Genomic DNA, 22,605 nt, shown 5'->3' on the forward strand with positions numbered 1-22,605 from the left:
TTTCCATTTGCCAGTTGACAGTTCTGTATAATGCTTCCATCTGCAAAAGATCTCAACATGTCAAAAATCCAAATTTGACATCTTCCCTCCATACCAGCCCTCTGTCTGCAATTCCCAAATATGGTTAATAGACCAACATTCCAGCCTCTTTGGGTGTCTTTCTCTTCCCCAGTCAAATCAAATACTTAGATTATATCTCTGCAATATGTTACATATTCGTTTCTTACTATTTTACTTCAAACAGTCAATGACAGTTTCCTAGTTCTGTGCTAACTACCTCATGGTTGACTTATTGTAACAGCGTACTGACAAATTTTACTGCTTCTAGTCTACCCATCTCTGGCACATTCTTCATCTGGCTACTAGATTAATTATTCTACTCTGGGGCATTTTCATTTATTCTATAAGAATTTCTTATTTGCCATGTGGAAGTCACTTTGTTCATAGTGATGCAGGGTACAGAGCCGTCAGCATAAAATGACTAAAATTCAAGGTAAAATGTGGTAAGTGCTAAGGCATTACTGATCAACTGCCATGAAAGGCCAGCATAGAAATCAAAGAAGGCTGAGTTGAACACTGATATTTGAACTGGACCATAAAATATGGGTAGGATTTGCAAGATGAAAACACTCTGGATGGAGAAAACAACATGATAAAAGATAAGGCTAATGCCCCATTAGAAAGCCTTTGCTAGTTTTTTCGTTTAGTATATGATAAAATTCAAATGTGGAGCTCTGTTATTTAAGACCCAATAATACATAGATCTAATCTATGTTTTCAGAATTATTTCCCTCTATTCTTCTATCCTTGCTTTTCAGTTATATATGAATATCCAATTAAGTATTTGAGAGAGGCACTGGAAGCCATAGAGTAAATATGGTACACCTTCTTAAGTGTTAATTTTGCTCAAAAAGTTTAAGGAAGAATAATTTTCTATTAAAATAAAGATAGATGAATTAATGCAAGAGAACGCAAAGTTTGCCTGAATTTCAAAAAAAGAATTCAAAGTTTTAAATTTATTTTTTGCTTGCAGTAGCTGTTTTGAATTGTTAGGAGCTAAGTTTCTGAAGTACACCTTCTTGTCCAACCCAAACAATATTCTTAGTCTTCTCTAGGTACCTCTTATATTTCTGTCGGTTTTGTTTTCATTCATGGTATACTTTTTCATGCCTCTATGAATTTCTTTTTACACACAGACCCACATCTACCTATTCACACACCAACTCTCTAAGGCCCATCTTATTCAGGTAGAATTCCTTAATAACTAGGATTAAAAGAAATAGTTCCTCTTCTGACCTCTTAACATCATTCACATTTAACTTGTAACATTTAATGTTATACAGTTTCAGCTCCTTGGCTAAATTATAAATTCTGAAACCATGCATCTTGTCTTAATCTGTAACCGTACAGTAGCAAGCATAGTGACCTATACATATTGAGTGTTCAATAAATATCTGTCACATAAATGAAGAAAAAAATTATCTGCTTAAATGTCACCTACTCAGGCAAGCCTTCCCTGACCACCCTATCTGAAGACTCTCTGAGTCTCTCATCTCTCACTCTATTTCATTTTTTATAACACTTACTACTGTATGACACTGTGATCTATATTTACTTGTTTATGTTCTATCTCTTCTATTATAAAGTAAGTTCTAGAAGAGCAAATACTTTGTTTTTTTCCTTCTACAACAGCAGTGTCTAGAATAATACCTACCACGATAGGCATTTAACAAATATTTGCTGAATCAATGTGTGAATTATTCTATGTTTTAAATAATCAGATCCTTTGAATGGAGCAACAGGTTGCTGCAAATTCCATGAGACAGGTGAAAAACTGGTGCTTTCTCAAAAGCACCACCTCCTGGCTGGAGGCCAACAAACTCAGGACATTACAGCAACTCATGACAGAACAACCCTGCTCCAAGGAAGGAGAAAACAACAGCTAATCCCACTGCCTGTAACATCCTGGCTAACCAGTGGTCCTGAGTCTGTCCATGTGACAACTTCACTGTTAGCATAATGAGCATTCAAGAAAGCCAGCACACTAAATATATCTACAAGGACTCTCACAGAAGCTACTTCACTCTCCTGACACCTCCACCAGAGCAGGTGCTGGTACCTATGGCTGAAACACCTAAAGATGAATCACATCAGAGGACTCTTTGCAGACACTCCCCAGCACCAGCCCAAAGGCTGGTAGTCCCACTGGGTGACTAGACCCAGAAGAGCAGTAACAATCACTCCAGTCTGGCTCGTAGGAAGCCCCATCCCTAGGGGAAGGGGAAGGGACAGTGCACCACAGCAAGGGACCACCCCACCCCATGGGACAAAAGAGTCTGAACAGCAGCCCTTGAATTCCAGATTTTTTCACTGGAATAGTCTACCTGAATGAGAAGGAATCAGAAAAGTAATTCTGGTAATATGACAAATCAAGATTCTATAACACCCGCAAAAGACCACACTGGCTCCCCAGCAATGAATCCAAACCAAGAAGAAACCTCTGAATTGTCAAATAAACAATTCAGAAGGCAGATTATTAAGCTACTCCAGGATATACCAGAGAAAACTGAAAAGCAATGAAAAGAAATTTTTAAAAATACAGGATATGGATGAAAAAATGGTCCAGATAAATAGATATCAAAAAGAAAAAAACAATCACAACTTCTGAAAATGAAAGACACACTTAAAGATATAGAAAATGCACTGGAAAGTTTCAACAATAGAATCAAACAAGTAGAAGAAAGAACTTCAGAGCTCAAAGACAAGGATTTCAAATCAACCCAATCAGAAAAAGAAAAAATAATTTCTAAAAAAAATGAATAAAGACTCCAAGAAATTTGAGATTATATTAAATGGCCAAACCTAAGAATAATTAGTGTTCCTGAGGAAGAAGATAAATCTAAAAGTTTAGAAAATTCCTTAGAAGGAATAATTGAGGAAAACTTCCATGACCTTTCTAGAGATCCAAACATCCAAATACAAGAAGCTCAAAGAACACCTGGGAAATTCATCACAAAAAGATCATCGCCCAGGCACATAATCATCAGGTTATCTAAAGTCAAACAAAGGAAAGAATCTTGAGGGCTAAGAAGCAAAAGCATCAGCTAATCTATAAAGGAAAACCTCTCAGATTAACAGTAGATTTCTCAGCAGAAACCCTACAAGCCAGAAGGGACTGGGGTCCTATCTTTAGCCTCCTCAAACAAAGTAATTGCCAGCCAAGAATTTTGTATCCAGCAAAACTAAGCTTCATAAATGAAGGAGAAAGTCTTTTTCAGTCTTTCTGAGAGTTAACAACTACCAAGCCAGCACTACAATAAAGGCTAGAAGGAGTTCTAAATCTTGAAACAAAACCTCAAAATTCACCAAAGCAGAACCTCCTTAAAGCACAAATCTCACAGAGCCTATGAAACAATAACACAGTGGAAAAACAACAACAACAACAATGTATTCAGGCAAAAACTAGCACAATAAATAAAACAGTACCTCACGTCTCAATACTAACATTGAATGTAAAAGGCCTAAATGCTCTGCTTAAAGGATACAGAATGCCAGAATGGATAAAAATCCACCAGTCAAGTATCTGCTATCTGCAAGAGACTCACCTAACATATAAGGACTCATAAACTTAAGGTAAAGGGGTGGAAAAAGATATTCCATGCAAACAGACATGAAAAGCAAGCAGGAGTAGCTATTCTTATATCAGACAAAACAGACTCTGAGGCAACAACAGTTAAAAAAGACAAACAAGAGCTTGCAGTTAGCCAAGATCACACCACTGCACTCCACCCTGGGCAACAGAGTGTGACCCCATGTCAAAAAAAAAAGACAAACAAGAACATTATATGATGATTTAAAAAATCAGTCCAACAGGAAAATATCACAATCCTAAATACATATGCGCCCAACATGAGAGCTCCCAAATTTATGAAACAATTATTAGTAGACATAAGAAATGAGATAGATGGCAACACAGTAACTGGGGGACTTCAGTACTGCACTGACACGAGTAAACAGGTTGTCAAGACAGAAAGTCAACAAAGAAACAATCGAATTAAACTATACCCTAGAACAAATGGACTTAACAGATATTTACAGAACATCCTACCCAACAACTGCAGAATATACATCCTTTTCATCAGCACATGGAACATTCTCCAAGATACAACATAAAATAGGTGAAAAAACAAGTTTCAATAAATTTTAGAAAATTGAAGTTATATCAAGTACCCTCTCAAACTATAGTGGAATAAAATTGGAAATTAGCTCCAAAAGGAACCCTCAAAACTATACAAATACATGAAAATTAAGTAATCTGCTCCTCAATGATCTTTGGGTCAACAATGAAATCAAGATGGAACTTTAAAAATTCTTTGAACTGAACAATAATAGTGACACAACTTTTCAAAACCTCTGGGATACAGCAAAACTGGTGCTAGGGTAGAAAGTTCATAGCATTAAATACCTATATCAAAAAGTCTGAAAGAGCACAAATAGACAATATAAAGTCATACATCAAGGAACTAGAGAAACAAGAAAAAAACAAACCCAAACCCAGCAGAAGAAAAAATATAACAAGGATCACAGCAAAAATAAATGAAATGGAAACAACAACAAAAAAAATGCAAAAGATAAATGCAACATAAAGCTGGTTCTTTGAAAAGATAAACAAAATTGGTAGACCATTAGTGCAATTAACCAAGAATAGAAGAGAGAAGATCCATATAAGCTAAATTAGAAATGAAATGGGAGATATTACAACTGATACCACAGAAATATGAAAGATCATTCAAGGCAACTATGAACACCTTTATGCATACAAACTGGACAATCCAGAGGATTTGGATGCATTTCTGGAAATACACAATGCCCCTTGATTAAATCGGGAAGAAATAGAAACTCTGAACAGACCAATAACAAGTAGTGAGATTAAGTAATAAAAAAAAAATGCCAACAAAAAAAGTCCAGGACTGGATGGATTCATAGCTGAATTCTATCAGACATTCAAAGAATAATTGGTACCAATCTTACTGAAACTATTCCAAAAGATAGAGAAAGAGGATATCTTCCCTAAATCATTCTATGGAGCCAGTATCACCCTGATACCAAAAACAGGAAAGGACATAATAAAAAAAGAAAACTGCAGACCAATGACCCTGTTGAACATAGATGAGAAAATCCTGAACAAAATACTAGCCAACTAAATCCAACAGCATTTCAAAAAGATAATCCAACATGATCAAGTGGGTTTCATACCAGGGATGCAGAGATGGTTTAACACACACAAGTTAATAAATGTAATACATCACATAAACAGAATTAAAAATAAATATCATATGATTATCTCAATAGATGCAGAAAAGACATTTGACAAAATCCAGCATCACTTTATGATTAAAACCCTCAGCAAAATCAGCATAGAATGAACATACTTCAAAGTAATAAAAGCCATCTATGACAAACCCACAGCCAACATTATGTTGAATGGGGAAAAGTTGAAAGCATTAACCCTGAGAATTGAAACAAGACAAAAATGCCCACTTTCACCACGTCTATTCAACATAGTACTGGAAGTCCTACCAGAGCAATCAGACAAGAGAAAGAAATAAAAGGCATCCAAATCAGTAAAGAGGAAGTCAAACTGTTGCTGTTTCCCAATGATATGATTGTATACCTAGAAAACCCTGACTTCTCTAGAAAACCCTAATGACTCCTTCAAATGCTCCTAGATCAGATAAATGAATTCAGTAAAGCTTCAGAATACAAAATCAATATATAGAAATTGGTAAAACTGCTATACACCAACAACAACCAAGCTGAGAACCAAATCAAGAACTCAACCCCTTTTAAGACAGCTGCAAAAAAAAAAAGTAAATAAAGTATTTAGGAATATACCTGACCAAGGAGGTGAAAGATCTCTACAAGGAAAACTATAAAACACTGCTGAAAGAAATCATACCTGACACAAACAAATGGAAACACATCCCATGCTCATAGATGAATAGAATCAATATTGCAAAAATGATCTTACTTTCAAAAGCAACCACAAATTCAAGCAATTCCCATGAAAATACCATCATCATTCTTCACAGAATTAGAAAAAACAAACCTAAAATTCATATTGAACCTAAAAAGAGCCCACACAGCCAAAGTAATAGTAAGCAAAAAGAACAAATCTGGAAGCATCACATTACTTTATTTCAACCTATACTACAAGGCTATAGTTACCAAAACAGGATGTTACATAGAGCAGTGGGACATAGACCGGTGGGACATAGACATAAAAAGGCAAATAGACCAGAGGGACAAAATAGAGAACCCAGAAATAAAACCAAATACTTAAAGCCAACTAATCTTTGACAAAGCAAACAAAAGCATAAAGTGGGTAAAGGACATGCTATTCAACAAATGGTGCTAGGATAATTGGCAAGCCACATGTAGAATGAAGCTGGATCCTTGCCTCTTAACTTACACAAAAATCAATGCAAGATGGATCAAATACTTAAATCTAAGACCTGAAACCATAAAAATTCTAGAAGAACATGGGAAAAACTCTTGTAGACATTGACTTAGGCAAAGAGTTCATGACCAAGAACCCAAAATCAAATGCAACAAAACAAAAATAAATAAATAGATGGGACCTAATTAAACTAAGCAGCTTCTGCACAGCAAAAGACATTATCAGCAGAGTAAACAGACAATCCATAGAGTGGGAGAAAATCTTCGCAAACCATGCATTCAACAAAGAATTAATTTCCAGAATCTACAAGAACTCAAACAAATCAGCAAGAAAAAAAAATTACAAATAATCCCACCAAATATAGTCAAAGGACATAAATAGAAAATTTTTAAAAGAACATATACAAATGGCCAACAAACATATGAAAAAATGCTCAACATCACTCATTATCAGGGAAATGCAAATCAAAACAGCAATGAGATACCACCTTACTCCTGCAAGAATGGTCATAATCAAAAAGCAAAATATAATACATGTTGGCATGGACGTGGTGAAAAGGCAGCCCTTTTAAACTGCTGGTGGTAATGTAAACTAGAACAATACTATGGAAAACAGTATGGAAACTTCTTAAAGAACTAAAACTAGATATACCATTTGATCCAGCAATCCCACTATGGGGTATCTCCCCAGACAAAAAGAAGTCATTATATGAAAAAGACAGATGCACACGCATGTTTATAGCAGCACAATTCATAACTGCAAAAATATGGAACCAGCCCAAATGCCCGTCAATCAATAAGTGGATAAAGAAAATGTACCATATATATATTATATATTATATATTATATATATATATATGCACCCTGGAATACCACTGAAATAATGACATTCATAGCAACCAGGATGGAGTTAGAGACCATTATTCTAAGTGAAGTAACTCAGGAATGGAAAAATCAAACATTGTATGTTCTCACTTATAAGTGGAAGCTAAGCTATGAGGATACAAAGGCATGAGAATGATATAATGGACTTTGGGTACTTGCGGGGAAGGGTGGAAGGGGAGTGAGGGATAAAAGACTGCACATTGGGAACAGTGAACACTGCTTGTGTGATGGGTACACCAAAATCTCAGAAATCACCACTAAATAACTTTTCCTTGCAACCAAACACCACCTGTACCCCCAAAACTATTGAAATAAAAAATAAAAAGCAAATAAATAAATAATTGTAATATTAATATATTATTTTAATAATATTAAAAAGGCTTCACAAGATAAGGTAAGACAAATAAGGTAATTTGAAGTTCCGAAATTGCAGTTTAATCTCATAGTAACTTTATGTGTATGTATTTTTGATTTTCTCTTTTCCTACTGGTAAGTTTGGTTGAAAGATTACCCTTTGAGGAGGGAGACAGTGAGGTGGCAGTGGGAGAGAGAAGGTCAATCTTACATATTTTGCATTATCTCTCAGCCAAAATTCAACATCTAATGTCTTTTTGCCAAGATACTCATATTAAATTGACATACTAGGTATAGTCAGAGAATTAACACCAAAAGCACAAAATCTTTCTTATAACATGACATAAAAAATAGTCTTTCTGATATTTGACCTTGTGTGTCAAAATGTTGAAAAACTAGTTAGCTACCACTTTCCCCTCAAAACCTAACCTGAAACTTTCATTTGAAATGACAGTTGTCCTTAAAATAATTTGAGAATCTACACTGCAGCTCTTACTTTCTCTATTTCAAAGATAACTGTTTTTAAGTTTATACTTTTGCCAAGTAAAATTAAAGTTCAGAATGAGCCAATTTTAAGGCCATTTTAGGAGTCTGAGAGACTTGTTTTCCTGGCACTGAAGGAGTTTACTAGTTCCATTACACACTCCACATTTGCCACCCTGAGAGTATCACAACTACTGCTACTGAATGATTGTGTCATCTTGTGAAAATGAATCACGTCTCTAATTTAGAATTTAGATATGACAACCAATTATGTGAGAACAAAATTAGTTTACCTGTCAAGTGCAAAAAAAAAAAAAAAGAAAAATATTTAAAACCACCTTTTTTCTAGGATGAATGAGCTAGGCAAATAACTTTTTAACCCAAACTTATCATGTAAAAATTGTCATGGAGAGAACACAAGAATTCAATTAACTACTTGTTCCCTCAGAAGTTAATTGTTGTTAGTCCTATTGTCATGTCTTGTTAATGCCTGTTCTTCAATTCATTGCTTTTTAGGCTTAAAAAGGGTATCTCAAAGGCAGAGAATTAGTTTGATATAATTCAGCTTATTTTTAGTCTTTTTCCTATTTTCCCAAAATTTGTAGAGTCAAATTTTGAATACTAGAATAAATATAAATTGTATGTAAGAATTATTTGTGAATTTCAAAAATACCTGCCCCCTCTTTCCCTCCAATATGGCTATTCTAAAATAAATTGCAACATTGGAATATTCCATTCTGATTCTTATCCTAATAATGGAAACCAATTGAGTCATACAGAGTTATAGTTTCTTAGTAAGGCAATTATTAAGAATGTAATATCTTGTGATATATAAGTTTTATTTTTGAGTAACTTCAAATCTTTAGTCTCATTTCACTTAAAAATACTTTCAAAAATCAAATTATATCAATAGCTATTTATTGAGTTCCTACTTTCTACAGTGCTCTATGAAGGATGCTAATATAAATAAAATTGTCAGAATCATTTAAAATTATATGAAAGATTCTGTTTTTTTATGAATAGAAAAAAATCTTTTATGTGATAAATGGCAGCTACATACAACCCACATCTAACGTCATGTTTAATATTGAAAGATAGAATACTTCTCATTAAGATCATGACCAAGACAAAGATGTTCACTCTCACCAGCCCTATTTAACATTGTGCAAAAATCTTTACAATTTCAAAGAAGCAAGGAAAGGAAACAACAGATACTGAAATTGAAAAGGAAGAAATGAAACTGTCCCTATTCTAGGAGACAAGATTTTCTTTTTTTTTTTTTTTACATTTAAAATATTTATTTGCTTACCAAAAAACCCAAGATATAAAAGGCTAATTATAAAAAATGACACCAGTGAACAGTTTTTACCCAAGCTAACCAAAAACAGAATAATATTAACAGTGCAAAGAAATGAAAAGAAACTTCAGTTTACATTTTGAATTAAGATGTCAATGAAATAAAACAGCAAATTCATCAGCCTTGCTGTTCACTTACATGGCTTTAACATTTGAAGAAAATACAAAAAGCCTTTTCAACTTTGATAATCACTTTTGACTCTTTGGAGTTGACTGAGAAAGGAAACTACATCAAAACTTCCATATGTTAATACAGATTAAATGCATAATTTGAAAATGTGATAATTTTTTAGAGAACACACAAGCCAAGTTGTTACCATTCCATCTGAATACTTTGATAAAACAACTTACAGACTTACTTGTAGGGTCCATTTTCATTTCCAAGCATGGCATAAAATGTTTTAAATGGGACAGTTCTTTTGGTACATTTTACACAAAATTTCTTTCATAGATTTTTAGGCCTAAAATTAAAGAATTATACAGGATGACACTAAGGGGGCAATTTACTGAAATAACTGACATTCTCCACTGACAGCTCAAGACTGGATTCAGATTCCTCGGCACTTGTACAGTTTGATTTCTGTGAGCAATTAGATAATGGCACATAGATTATCATAGTCATGTTAGTTAAAAACATCTCTGCCTACATTTATGGTTTGACTTAAAATGAAGAAATATGAAGATATTTTCTTTTGTCACAAGGGGTAATCACTATATGAGTGGATTGCTGCAACTCTCCTGCAATGGGCAGAGATATTTCATCAATACCACCATCTCAACAGTTTGTCGCTAACTCTTAAGTAGTCTATTTTATTATAATGTATTAATATCAATCATATCTACACACTATAAAAATGTTAATTGAGCTCAGGTATGATACCAGCATCTTATCTTTACAGGCTCACAGGGAAAAGATGTAACTCAAGTTGCAATGATATTTATTTTATTTTATTTTAATTATTATTATACTTTAAGTTCCATGGTACATGTGCACAACGTGCAGGTTTGTTACATATGTATACATGTGCCATGTTGGTGTGCTGCACCCATTAACTCATCATTTACATTAGGTATATCTCCTAATGCTATCCCTCCCCTCTCCCTCCACCCCACAACAGGCCCCAGTGTGTGATGTTCCCCACCCTGTGTCCAAGTGTTCTCATTGTTCAATTCCCACCTATGAGTGAGAACATGCAGTGTTTGGTTTTCCGTCCTTGCAATAGTTTGCTCAGAATGATGGTTTCCAGCTTCATCCATGTACCTACAAAGGACATGAACTCATCCTTTTTTATGGCTGCATAATATTGCATGGTGTATATGTGCCACATTTTCTTAATCCAGTCTATCATTGATGGACATTTGGGTTGGTTCCAAGTCTTTGCTATTGTGAATAGTGCCACAATAAACATACGTGCGCATGTGTCTTTATAGCAGCATGATTTATAATCCACTGGGTATATGCCCAGTAATGGGATGGCTGGGTCAAATGGTATTTCTAGTTCTAGATCCTTGAGGAATCGCCACACTCTCTTCCACAATGGTTGAACTAGTTTACAGTCCCACCAACAGTGTAAAAGTGTTCCTATTTCTCCACATCCTCTCCAGCACCTGTTGTTTCCTGACTTTTTAACGATAGCCATTCTAACTGGTGTGAGATGGTATCTCATTGTGGTTTTGATTTGCATTTATCCGATGGACAGCAATGATGAGCATTTTTTCATGTGTCTGTTGGCTGCATAAATGTCTTCTTTTGAGAAGTGTCTATTCATATCCTTCACCCGCTTTTTCCTGGGGTTATTTGATTTTTTCTTGTAAATTTGTTTAAGTTCTTCGTAGATTCTGGATATTAGCCCTTTGTCAGATGGGTAGATTGTAAAAATTTTCTCCCATTCTGTAGGTTGCCTGTTCACTCTGATGGTAGTTTCTTTTGCTATGCAGAAGCTCTTTAGTTTAATTAGATCCCATTTGTCAATTTTGGCTTTTGTTGCCATTGCTTTTGGTGTTTTAGTCATGAAGTCCTTGCTCATGCCTATGTCCTGAATGGTATTGCCCAGGTTTTCTTCCAGGATGTTTACGGTTTTAGGTCTAACATTTAAGTCTTTAATCCATCTTGAATTAATTTTTGTATAAGGTGTAAGGAAGGGATCCAGTTTCAGCTTTCTACATATGGCTAGCCAGTTTTCCCAGCACCATTTATTAAATAGGAAATCCTTTCCCCATTTCATGTTTTTGTCAGGTTTGACAAAGATCAGATGGTTGTAGATGTGTGGTATTATTTCTGAGGGCTCTATTCTGTCCCATTGGTCTATATCTCTGTTTTGGTACCAGTACCATGCTGCTTTGGTTACTGTAGCCTTGTAGTATAGTTTGAAGTCAGGTAGTGTGATGCCTCCAGCTTTGTTCTTTTGGCTTAGGATTGTCTTGGCAATGCAGGCTCTTTTTTGGTTCCATATGAACTTTAAAGTAGTTTTTTCCAATTCTGTGAAGAAAGTCATTGGTAGCTTGCTGGGGAGGGCATTGAATCTGTAAATTACCTTGGGCAGTATGGCCATTTTCACAATATTGATTCTTCCTATCCATGAGCATGGAATGTTCTTCCATTTGTTTGTGTCCTCTTTTATTTTGTTGAGCAGTGGTTTGTAGTTCTCCTTGAAGAGGTCCTTCACATCCCTTGTAAGTTGGATTCCTAGGTATTTTATTCTCTTTGAAGCAATGGTGAATGGGAGTTCACTCAAAAGATTCTCTTTTTCTTATGTGTGCATGTCTAGACTTTTAAGGAGATAAAACCTTCATAAACAAATTTCTCACAAAAGAAAGCAATAAATATATACGGTGATGGATATGTTAATTAGTTTGATTTAATCATTTCAAGATGTATACAAATATCAAGACATCACCTTGTATACTGTAAATATATACAATTTTTATTTGTCAGTTATTCCTGGATAAAGCTAGAGGGAAAAACACAGAGATTTCTCCTTTATAGAAAAGAGAAAATTAAAATCAGGGGAACTAGGAGGTTTTTTTTTTTTTTTGAGAGAGAGAGAGAGAGAGAGCTTTAAATATATTATAAAATCATAGATTTTGGAGGCAGGATAAAATCTTAAATTCTTAATTTATTTAATTTTACTAGAACTATACATATTATATGCCTACTTTGAACAAATGCAAAGTTAACTGATTATCTAGTCATTTAATTTTAGCAACATAAATATGGCCACAGATTCAACCAGGTATTTGTGAATTGACTCTATGCCAATTCACAACTTAGTTTCTAAGTATATTTTGCTTAAAATAATGAGAAACACATTTCTATACTTCTAAATTTGGGACTTCTTTTTACTGACAGAAAAATTCTCTAGATATGAATGACTGTATTCCCAAATAGCTAACATGTGCTCTCTAGTTCATTTTGCTTAGACCCAAACATTCATATTTACCATATTCTGCCTTTTATGTATTGACCTGCCTGCCATCCATAAACAAGTGGATGCCCTTGAAACAGGAATCATGATTCTTTACATTCAGTATACTGTAGTTTCTAACTCAGGGCTTTCAACCTAGGTGCAATTAAAAAATATATATGGGAAGGAAAGGGGAAAAAAAGAGAGTAAGCTATATATCTGAGTTGTTGTTAAGTTGCTACCACATGTTTTTTTGTGTGTTTCTTCATATGTACTGATTCATTAGCTTCAATTAAAATGACAAAATATTCAATTAATCATTTAGTTTAAAATATATAATTGCTGTCTCATGGTGTGATGACTCCATTTGCAATTAGTCCTACCCAGGAGTGGTAGAAAGAGTATTGACTTTGGCACAGAATTCTAACTCAGCGGCCTACTAACTTTGTCACCTTGGCTGAGCTACCCAACTTCTTCAAGCTTCGGTAGCCTCCCTTGTAAAATAAGGTTGCTAATACTTAGATTTCTGATTCATTGTGAAGAGAGAATATAATAGATTTTCATATCTATGCTGCTTGCCTCTCACTAAGAATGTGACTGTGAGTAATTAATCTCTCTAATCCTTAGTTTCCCTGTCTATTCAACTAACATTTATTAAGTCACTCAACAAATATCACCAAGTATCTAGTAAGCTCCAGGAATGCACACATACACAAATATCCCTATTAAAGAAAATGTAAGAAACTAGAGAGCACAAAGACAAAATGGGGACATTTTGTCTCTATACTGAGAGTTAAGAGAAATGTCCTGGCAGAGAAGATATCTGAACAAGTCTTCAAATAGGAATAAATGTTAGCCAAATGAAAAAATTTTGAGAGGGATTTCTAGATAAGAGGAGAGAATAAAGCCATAAGGGTGTGAAACAGTACGGCTTGTATGTGAACACCCTAAGCAAGCTGCTATTTGATAGAGTTTAGAATATACAGAAAATGGGAGAAAATGAAACTAGAAAATAAAAGAATATGTCCAGGTCAGAGGGAGCTTAGACACTCTGAAAGGTTTTAAGCAAGCACATAACATAGACACTCTGAAAGGTTTTAAGCAAGGACATAACATAGAATTCATTGGAGAAAGAAATCCCTGTAGCTAAAGTGAGCAGAATCTATTTAAGAAGTGAGAGGTGGGCATTAGGAGGACAAAGCACAAGTTAGAAGGCTGTGGCATTCATCCAAGTGGAAATTATGCTCTGAATTATACTAATACTGTTGTACAATTTATAGGAGCAGGTTTAAGAAATGTTTAGGGCATAAAACAGATATGACTTAGTGACTTCTTGTTGTGTGTGAAGAGGGAGAACCAGAGTGGATGACTGGGTCTCTGGCAATTAATTGAAGTTCCAAACAAAAGAGAAAAAGCACGTTTTGGAAAGGAGATAAATAATTATTTCAGTTGAGAACATGTTGAATTTGAGATTGCAGTCAGACACGTACAGCAAGCAAATGGATAACTGAGCTTAGAGAGATAAGACCTGAAGACAGATATTTGAGTTATCTATAAAATATTGCCTACCTTCCGAGATGATGCTAAGGATTAAATTAGATAACGTGTATAAAGTGGCTAATGCTACACAGCACTGTAAATAAAATAAATCAGATGGCATATTTAAGTACTTTACTCAAAAATGTAATTACCATCCCATCCTGCACATAATTATCGAACCAATCTCTGTATTTGGATAAAATCTGAAGTAAAAGTTACAACTTAACCTAATGGACTCTAAAACAAGGTATTGAAGAAAGCTTAGTAAGACGACTGTCAATCTTCCAGTTATTTCTTCTCTAATCACTAAACTATTAAGGAGTTGGCTTAACGGTCCATCCTCCTGTAACTATAACTGAACAGTTTCCTGCCCTCTTGCCTCTTTTGTTAAATGCCTCCTGGTAAAAAGAATCCTGTCTTAGATCCTGTAAAATCTATCTTAACATAAAGCCTCTGATTTAGAATATATAATTTTTAAATCCACCAATATAAAGTGAAATAATATAACAGAATGTATTAATTCAATTTTCAATTTCAGCTAAGGTATCCAAGTCCTGACAACCTTGAGGATAACGGAAAACATGAAGGAAGATGGAAAAAGTGATAATTTTTCCTACTCTCATACCAGTTTTTCCAAAGCTTCTTCCCCAAATTATAGAAAGTACCACCCACCAACATAGATAGAATAATAGATGTTCCTTTAAACCACTTTTAGGTGACTCTACATCTAATCTTTCTAATTTTCCCTTGTAAGCAATCAAAAAAATCTTACAGTTGATGTTAATTCCTAACTATGGATATCTAAAAATAAATTAAGGAAATGGCATTGCCAAGTTTTGACTTGAATTGATTATTTTAAAAAATTCCTTTTTGTTATGTTTAAAACTTAAATTGGATCAGCTGGACACCACACATGGTAGAGAGCTAAACTTATTCATTGCCATTTTCTAAGTATAGCGATCATTAGATCATAGACTGTGGAGTGGTTGTGGGTTGATAATGGATCATGAATCCTTTCAGAGATGTGAAGTCTTGTCCTTCACAGATGAGGATGATTGAATTAGTTCTTAATATCAAGTAGAATAATCTGGCTATACTTACTTTCTTATTGTCAAATTACTCCTAAAAATAGGGCAGTGTGTGGCACTGTTTGCTGGTCTGCATTTGCACATTTGCATTAGAAAAAACTCTTCCCTGTGATTGATAAAAATCCCCAAATATATACTGCTGGTTTTCTAGGTATAAAATCTGATTTAATCCGAGCTTCAAAGCATTAAGGTCATAATTCTATAGTGAATAACGTTGGACGACTACCTATTAGAGCAATATTTTGTAAACTGATGAATTAATGGACAATATATTTTCAAAACATATCACACTTTAATTTTCCTACTGCTTCTACAGTGCCACAGAACTGTTTATGATCCTTAGTTCTGTCAGGAAAAAAAAAGGAAGGAAAAGTAATTTTCCTTCTAATGAAATGGAAGAAATGCTCCTCGAGAAGAGTAAGTGCCTTTCGAAAGACATTTTCTGCACTGATAGAAAGGAGGAGCTATCACAGGACTCAGTTGGCTATTTCCCTCTTGTGTTGCAATTGAAAATAAGTCATGAGAAAAGAAGTAATGAGTTTCCTTTACAGTTGAAGGAATGTAATTTACAAGTTAAGAATTGATTGACTATAAAATTTGGGAAACTTTTGGAACCTAGGAAGTGGTAATACATCCCCATCTGAAATGGTTAAAGAAAGAAAAATTTCCAAAGCCAGAAGAAAACCTAACAATTCTCAAAGCCACTCAAGCTATGCGGTCTTCTAATATTTTATTCACTAAGCATTCAGTCAATTCCAACTAGGGTATCACTCACCTAGGTCACCAGCAAGTTTTAATGACACAGAGTCAACCAAGATTTTTATGTTCTTTTTTCTTTTAGATTTTGATTAAAATAAAAACATTCTCCTTTTTACCTTCCTATAGTTTTCCATGAGGCATAATCATACCTCTCCCAGCCTGTAACCAGTATTTTCTTCTTAAGAATGAGGATTTGTGAAATATCCACAGCTCCATCTTGCCCAACATTTAGTGTATGGTGACAATATCCATTGAAGTCCCATATCTTTAAGAGAAAAATTAAAACCACTTTGAGACAGGAAGGTAAACTTTTTATATTCTGAACCAGGATTAATTCATTTAGGATATGTAATCATTAAAGAAAATCAACTCATCATTGAATTTTGCCACTATATTACTCTTGTAATATTGTGAAATATCTAGTTGGTCTTCATCCCCATTTCTCGGCACAATAACTTTTAAAATCCTCAGACTCTTTCTCTAATGATAAGATAGTATTTAGTATGCTAATGACATGACTCCAGGCTGGGGAGCCCTAAATAGCTTCAGGGTGGAGGCTGTTCTCAAGAAACGCCAAGGCATAATTAGAAGGTGGAAATTTCAGCCCCACCCTGAAACCCCTAGGGAGCAGAGAGAAGTTTAAAGTTGAGTTCATCTCCAGTGGTCAGTGATGGAGTCAATCAACCCTGTGTAATGGAGCCTCCATAAAAACCCAAAAGTATGGGAGTTGAAGAGATTCTAGACAGCTGAACATACGTGGAGGTTGCTGGTGGGTGAAAAGCCCACAATGGAAGGGCTGAGTCCACATGCCTTGCATTATGCATCTCTTCCATCTGTTCATCTGTATCCTTTGTAATATCATTTATAATTAATGAATACATGTAAGTCAAGTGTTTCCCTGAGTTCCGTAAGCCACTCTAGCAAATTAATCAGATCCAAGGAGAGGGTCACAAGAATGCTGATTTACAGCCCGTCAGTCAGAAGCACAAGTTACAACATATGCTTGTGACTGGCATCTAAAGGAAGAAGCAGACTTGTGGGACTGAGCCCTCAACCTAGAGGATCTGACTCTATCTCCAAGTAGACAGTGTCAGAATAGAATTGAATTGGAGGACACCCAACTGGTGTCCTCTGTAAAATCTACCACAGAATTGGTGTGTGGGAAAAATCCCTACACACATTTTGGTGGCCAGAGGTGTGTATTGCATTCAGTGTGATGGTAGGAGAAACTGATTTTTTTCCTATATAAAGTCACCCATCACTTAATAACAGGATACATTCTGAGAAATGCATCACTGGGTGATTTTATCATTGTGCCACTATCATACAGTGTACTTATACAAACCTAAATGATACAGTCTACTACACACCTAGACTATATGGTATAGCCTATTGCTCCTAGGCTACAAAACTGTACAGCATGTTACTGTACTGAATACTGTCAACAACTGTAACACAATGGTAAGTATTTGCGTATCTAAACATAGAAAAGGTACAGTAGAAATATAGCATTATAATCTTAAGGGACCACCATCGTATATGCAGTCTGTTGTTAACTGAAATGTTGCTAGACAGTTTATGACTCTACTTGTAACTCTATCAATCTATTCTAATAATAGTTCTTCAAATACTGTAAGTTAATATGTATACTAAATGGAGAGACAATAAAAAATCATGAAGAAAACGATTTTGGAATCTGTTGACATCCTGAAGTTTTCACTATGTCTAAATTTCTGCTTCCTTATCTGTGATACAGGAACTTTACTCCTCAGGGATGCTTGGAGGATTAAACAGCTGATACAGAACCTGAAACAGTCATCATTTACTAGATTTCTCATCCTCTACCGATAAAACCTCCTGTTGATGGTGGGTGCCAGACCCAGTCCTCAAGAGGGCACAAGCAGTTCTGGTTAACCTACTTAGACAGTGGAGTGAAAACTTAAGCCCAATAGGCATACTTTAAGAGAGAGCATCATTAGATTAGTAGCAGTTAAAACTAAGCCCTACTATGAAACCTTGTTGGCACATCATGCATAGAGGTCACATTGGTGCTATCAAAATTAAAATGCAGGCCAGGCACCGTGGCTCATGCCTGTAATTACAGCTTTTTGGGAGGCTGAGGCAGGCAGATCACTTGAGGTCAGGAGTTTGAGACCAGCCTGGCCAACATGGTGAAACCCTGTCTCCACTAAAATTACAAAAATTAGGCAGGGCCGGATTCAGTGGCTCATGGCTGTAATCCCAACACTTTGGGAGGCTGAGGCGGGCGGATCACAAGGTCAGGAGTTTGAGACCAGCCTGGCCAATATGGTGAAACCCCATCTCTACTAAAAATATAAAAATTAGCCAGGCATGGTGGCATGCACCTGTAGTCCCAGCTACTCGGGAGGCTGAAGCAGGAGAATAGCTTGAACCCAGAAGGTGGAGGTTGCAGTGAGCTGAGATCATGCCACTGCACTCTAGCCTGAGTGACAGAGTGAGACTCCATCTCAAACAAACAAACAAACAAAAAAATTAGCCGAGCATGGTGGTGCACACCTGTAACCACAGCTACTCGGAAGGCTAAGAGCGGAGAATCACTTGAACCTGAGAGGCAGCGGTTGCAGTGAGACAGGATCATCCCACTGCACTCCAGCCTGGGCAACAGAGCAAGACTCTGTCTCAAAAAATAATTATTATTATTAAAAGGCATATACCCTTTAAAAATTTAGCTTCTAGAAAGTCATCTCACAGATGATTAAAAATTGGCTTAAAATTTGGCTTAAAAATTCAGCTTCTAGAAAATCATCCACAGATATATTCATATATGTAAAATGACATATTTTCAAGCATATTCTTGCAGCATTGTTAAAAAGCAAAAGATTTGAATCAATGCAATTGCTCATTAGTAAGTAAGAAATTGAACAATCAGAATAAGGACTATCTATGCAGTAGCATATAATGTAGCCATAAAGAAGAATGAGTCATCTCCATTTTCCTAGACTCTGCCAAAACTCAACTGCCTATGGAAGCTTGAGCAAGTTGCCTTAACTCCTTGGGCTTCAGTTTCCCCTACTAAAAATACAAAAAATTAGCCGGGCGTGGTGGCAGGCGCCTGTAGTCCCAGCTACTCGGGAGGCTGAGGCAGGAGAATGGTGTGAACCTGGGAGGCAGAGCTTGCAGTGAGCTGAGATCGTGCCACTGCACTGCAGCCTGGGCAACAGAGCGAGACTCCGTCTCAAAAAAAAAAAAAAAATCAGGATAAGAGTACCAACCTTATAGATATACATATATGTGTGTGTGAAATGCTCAGAATAGTGCCTGGTTCATAGTGAGCATGGAATAAATGTTAGCTAACATTATTATTATTGTATCCATTTATATGAGTCAATATCCAAGACAGAAAAATGCAAATGCAGAACAGCATGTATAGTAGGCTGCCATCAAGAAACAAATGGCCAGGCACAGTGGCACGTGTTTGTAATCCCAGCTACTCAGGAGGAGGCTGAGGCAGTAGGATCATTTGAACCTAGGAGTTTGAAACCAACCCAGGAACACAGTGAGACCCTGTCTCTAAAAACAAACAAACAAGAATGATTGAACGAAAATAAACAAACAAATGGTGTTTGTGGCTAGAAAGGTGCACAAGAAAACAGTAACAGTGGTAGCCTCAGAGAAGGAGCTGGAAACAGGGATGATATATTTTCACTATATATCCATTTTATATTTCAAAAATTTTATTTTATGCACACATTAATTATTCAAAACATTAATTAATTTAAAAATAGACCGTTCAAAGCCATAATGAATGAGTTAATAATTTTAAGTCTTTGATTATGTAGGTACTGAATTTGGATTCTAAATTTATAAATTAGATTGGAAAATGTCATTCATTCTTGTTTCTTCATAGAATATGGTCAGAGAAACTCAACCCTGATTTATGTATCCTACACAGAAGTTGCCAGACTTCAGAATTCTGTTGTGCTCTTGTGATAAATATAAATGCACCTTCAGAAGCAGTTATTATACTACTAAATTCACATTAACTTCTAAGATGTCAACGCTTCAGTTGAGACTTGAGGTGCACACATACTCTTCATCCATGTCGCTATGTTTTCCTCTAAACATGGCTCTTACCAAGTCCACCTTAAATAATTTCCACAAGTAGGTATTGCAAAGATCTGAATGTCCCCAGGTCCGACTAAGTCCCTTAGCTGGGAATATTTTAGCAGAATCTACAAGGTAAGCCTTACCCTAGATTCTATACCCAGTTACTTTCCAAGATAGAGGTAAATAGAACCTAATCCGTTCACTCCAATGTTCAGTGCATTCTCACACCCCAGGACTGGTAAGCGAGATACTGGCTTTTACTATTTGCCTGAACCACTGTCTAATACTCCAGGTCCAGTTATTTCCCTTTTATTTCACCTCAATTATTGGGATTATGGTTGTCCTGGTACCTTCACACATCTTATCAGCTCTCCTGTAAACTAGATTACTTTACTTAAACCCAAATCTCCAGTCCATACCTTATTCCATTAACCTTCTCATAGGCCAACTTCTACTGATTTCCAGAGATTCCCTTTTCAACCCACAATAGCACCTTCCTCACACTAATGACTGCCAGCCTGTAATCTCCCTGAATACCTAAACTTCTAGGATGTTCTACCTACATATCCAGGTAGCTTTCCATCACTCTCCCCTACAGCTTAACTGAGTGTATCATACACTACACCATGGAAGGTAGTCTAATACCCAGTTATAGCAGGTTTGAGAAACATTCAAAGTTTATTCAGGGAATTACCTTCTATTGCCTCAAAATGGCACAAGCCATTTCCAATCAAAGACTCATTACTCTTGGGGCTGAGGGGGGCAGAGAAGATTCACTGGTGGGCATGACTTCAGATATCAAGTATCTAGTTTTTCATGAAAAGTTGACCATTTTGAAAAGGAAATTAGCACCTTCCTCCCAGAAGAAATATATGATAATTATAGAATAAGAAACTTAGAAATATAAAATCATGTAAGTTTAGAATGGATAAGATTATGATTATTCTTTCTACTGTCTGAATTTCACATAACAAAAATTAAGATTACAAAATAGGTTTACTTTTAAATATTTATTTCTTGAAAAATTTGCATCTATGCCATTTTTTAAAGTTTAGTTAAGTGTTCCTGATTTCTCATTTAATCAACTTTTAAAAAGAAAACTAGAGACATTAGCCAAAGCACATGAAATTATCGAGGCATCGTATTCCCCAAAGTAGTCCCTATTGACTACACTGAAAAGGGGGCTTTCTGAAATGAGTAAGCCAAGTTATATTTTCATTCTAAATAATTTATTCAGAAAAATTATTTATTCATTTTTCCACAGAGGTTTATTTTCCTAGCAGCTTTATTAGATGGTTGGAGTTATTTCACTCTTACCATGTCTCATTTCTCTTCTTGCAATACCAAAAAGGCAAAAAATGAGAATATCTATAGCCATGTCTTCTGGCATAGTATTTTAGTCTCCTCATATCTGGATAGAAAAGCATCATTGTGTTCGCACCTTTACAGTCCCATCTGTGCTGCCAGTCAAAAGCCGAGTCTCATTTGCATCAAGGGCCATAGTGCTGATTTCTGCGTTGCCGTGGCAACCAGTAAACTGTTTGATTTTCTGCCCAGTGTCTATCATCCAGAAGGAAACAGTAGACCCTGTATCAGAGCTGATTACCTAAGAGAAAATAACATTTTAAAGAAATTAAATATAGTCTCAGAATCAACCATTTATATTTCAATAAACATATCCAGCCTGTGCATTTCTAGTCCAAAGATCCCCCAACAGTCAGAGACATTTTTGTAATGGACTTTCTTTCTATTAAGCTGATAACATTTCAATTTTGACTAGACCTGAGGTAATGAAGTCGTGATCCTCTTTATCAGAGAAGATAGTAATCTGCTTTCCTTACTCACCATTCAGCTTTAGTGTCTAGAGGCCATTCCGAAATCAAATTCTGAAAATAAACTTACGAATCTTTCCCATTTAGATGAGAAAGCTGATTTTACTAGTCATGGTGCTCTGACACTATTTACTATATGAAAAGAAACATTTTATAATATAGCAGCTTTCATTTAGCATTCAGAAAAGAAGCTCTACCAGCCATTATGGAAAATGTTAATTTCAACAAATTACTAGAGCTGTGCTTTTAATGCCATTAGTCCTTTGCTTTCTTTTTTCCCAAACTACTGTGTATATTTTTATAGCTAAACACAATTATTGATAGATTACTAAAAAAAAAAAAAAAGAGCACAGGTTA

The 22,605-nt window shown here is 35.5% G+C and overlaps 1 protein-coding gene across 4 annotated transcripts in view; it reads right to left on the bottom strand.

The window, feature by feature from the left end:
• The window catches only part of WDR49 (WD repeat domain 49), a 179,240-nt gene that overhangs the window by 59,523 nt on the left and 97,112 nt on the right, over positions 1–22,605 (bottom strand). For 3 of the 4 annotated variants that reach the window (NM_001348951.2, NM_001366158.1, NM_001348952.2), the window contains 2 exons: positions 21,858–22,022; positions 16,477–16,592 (listed from right to left, as the gene is read on the bottom strand). In NM_001348951.2, coding sequence (NP_001335880.1) covers positions 16,477–16,592; positions 21,858–22,022 — 281 coding nt within the window. Of the gene's footprint in view, positions 1–16,443; positions 16,593–21,857; positions 22,023–22,605 lie in introns of all 4 variants that reach the window. The other variant, NM_001366157.1, reaches the window with a different exon arrangement.

This window comes from Homo sapiens, chromosome 3 (genome assembly GCF_000001405.40).
Source record: "Homo sapiens chromosome 3, GRCh38.p14 Primary Assembly".
Classification (NCBI taxonomy): Eukaryota; Metazoa; Chordata; class Mammalia; order Primates; family Hominidae; genus Homo; species Homo sapiens.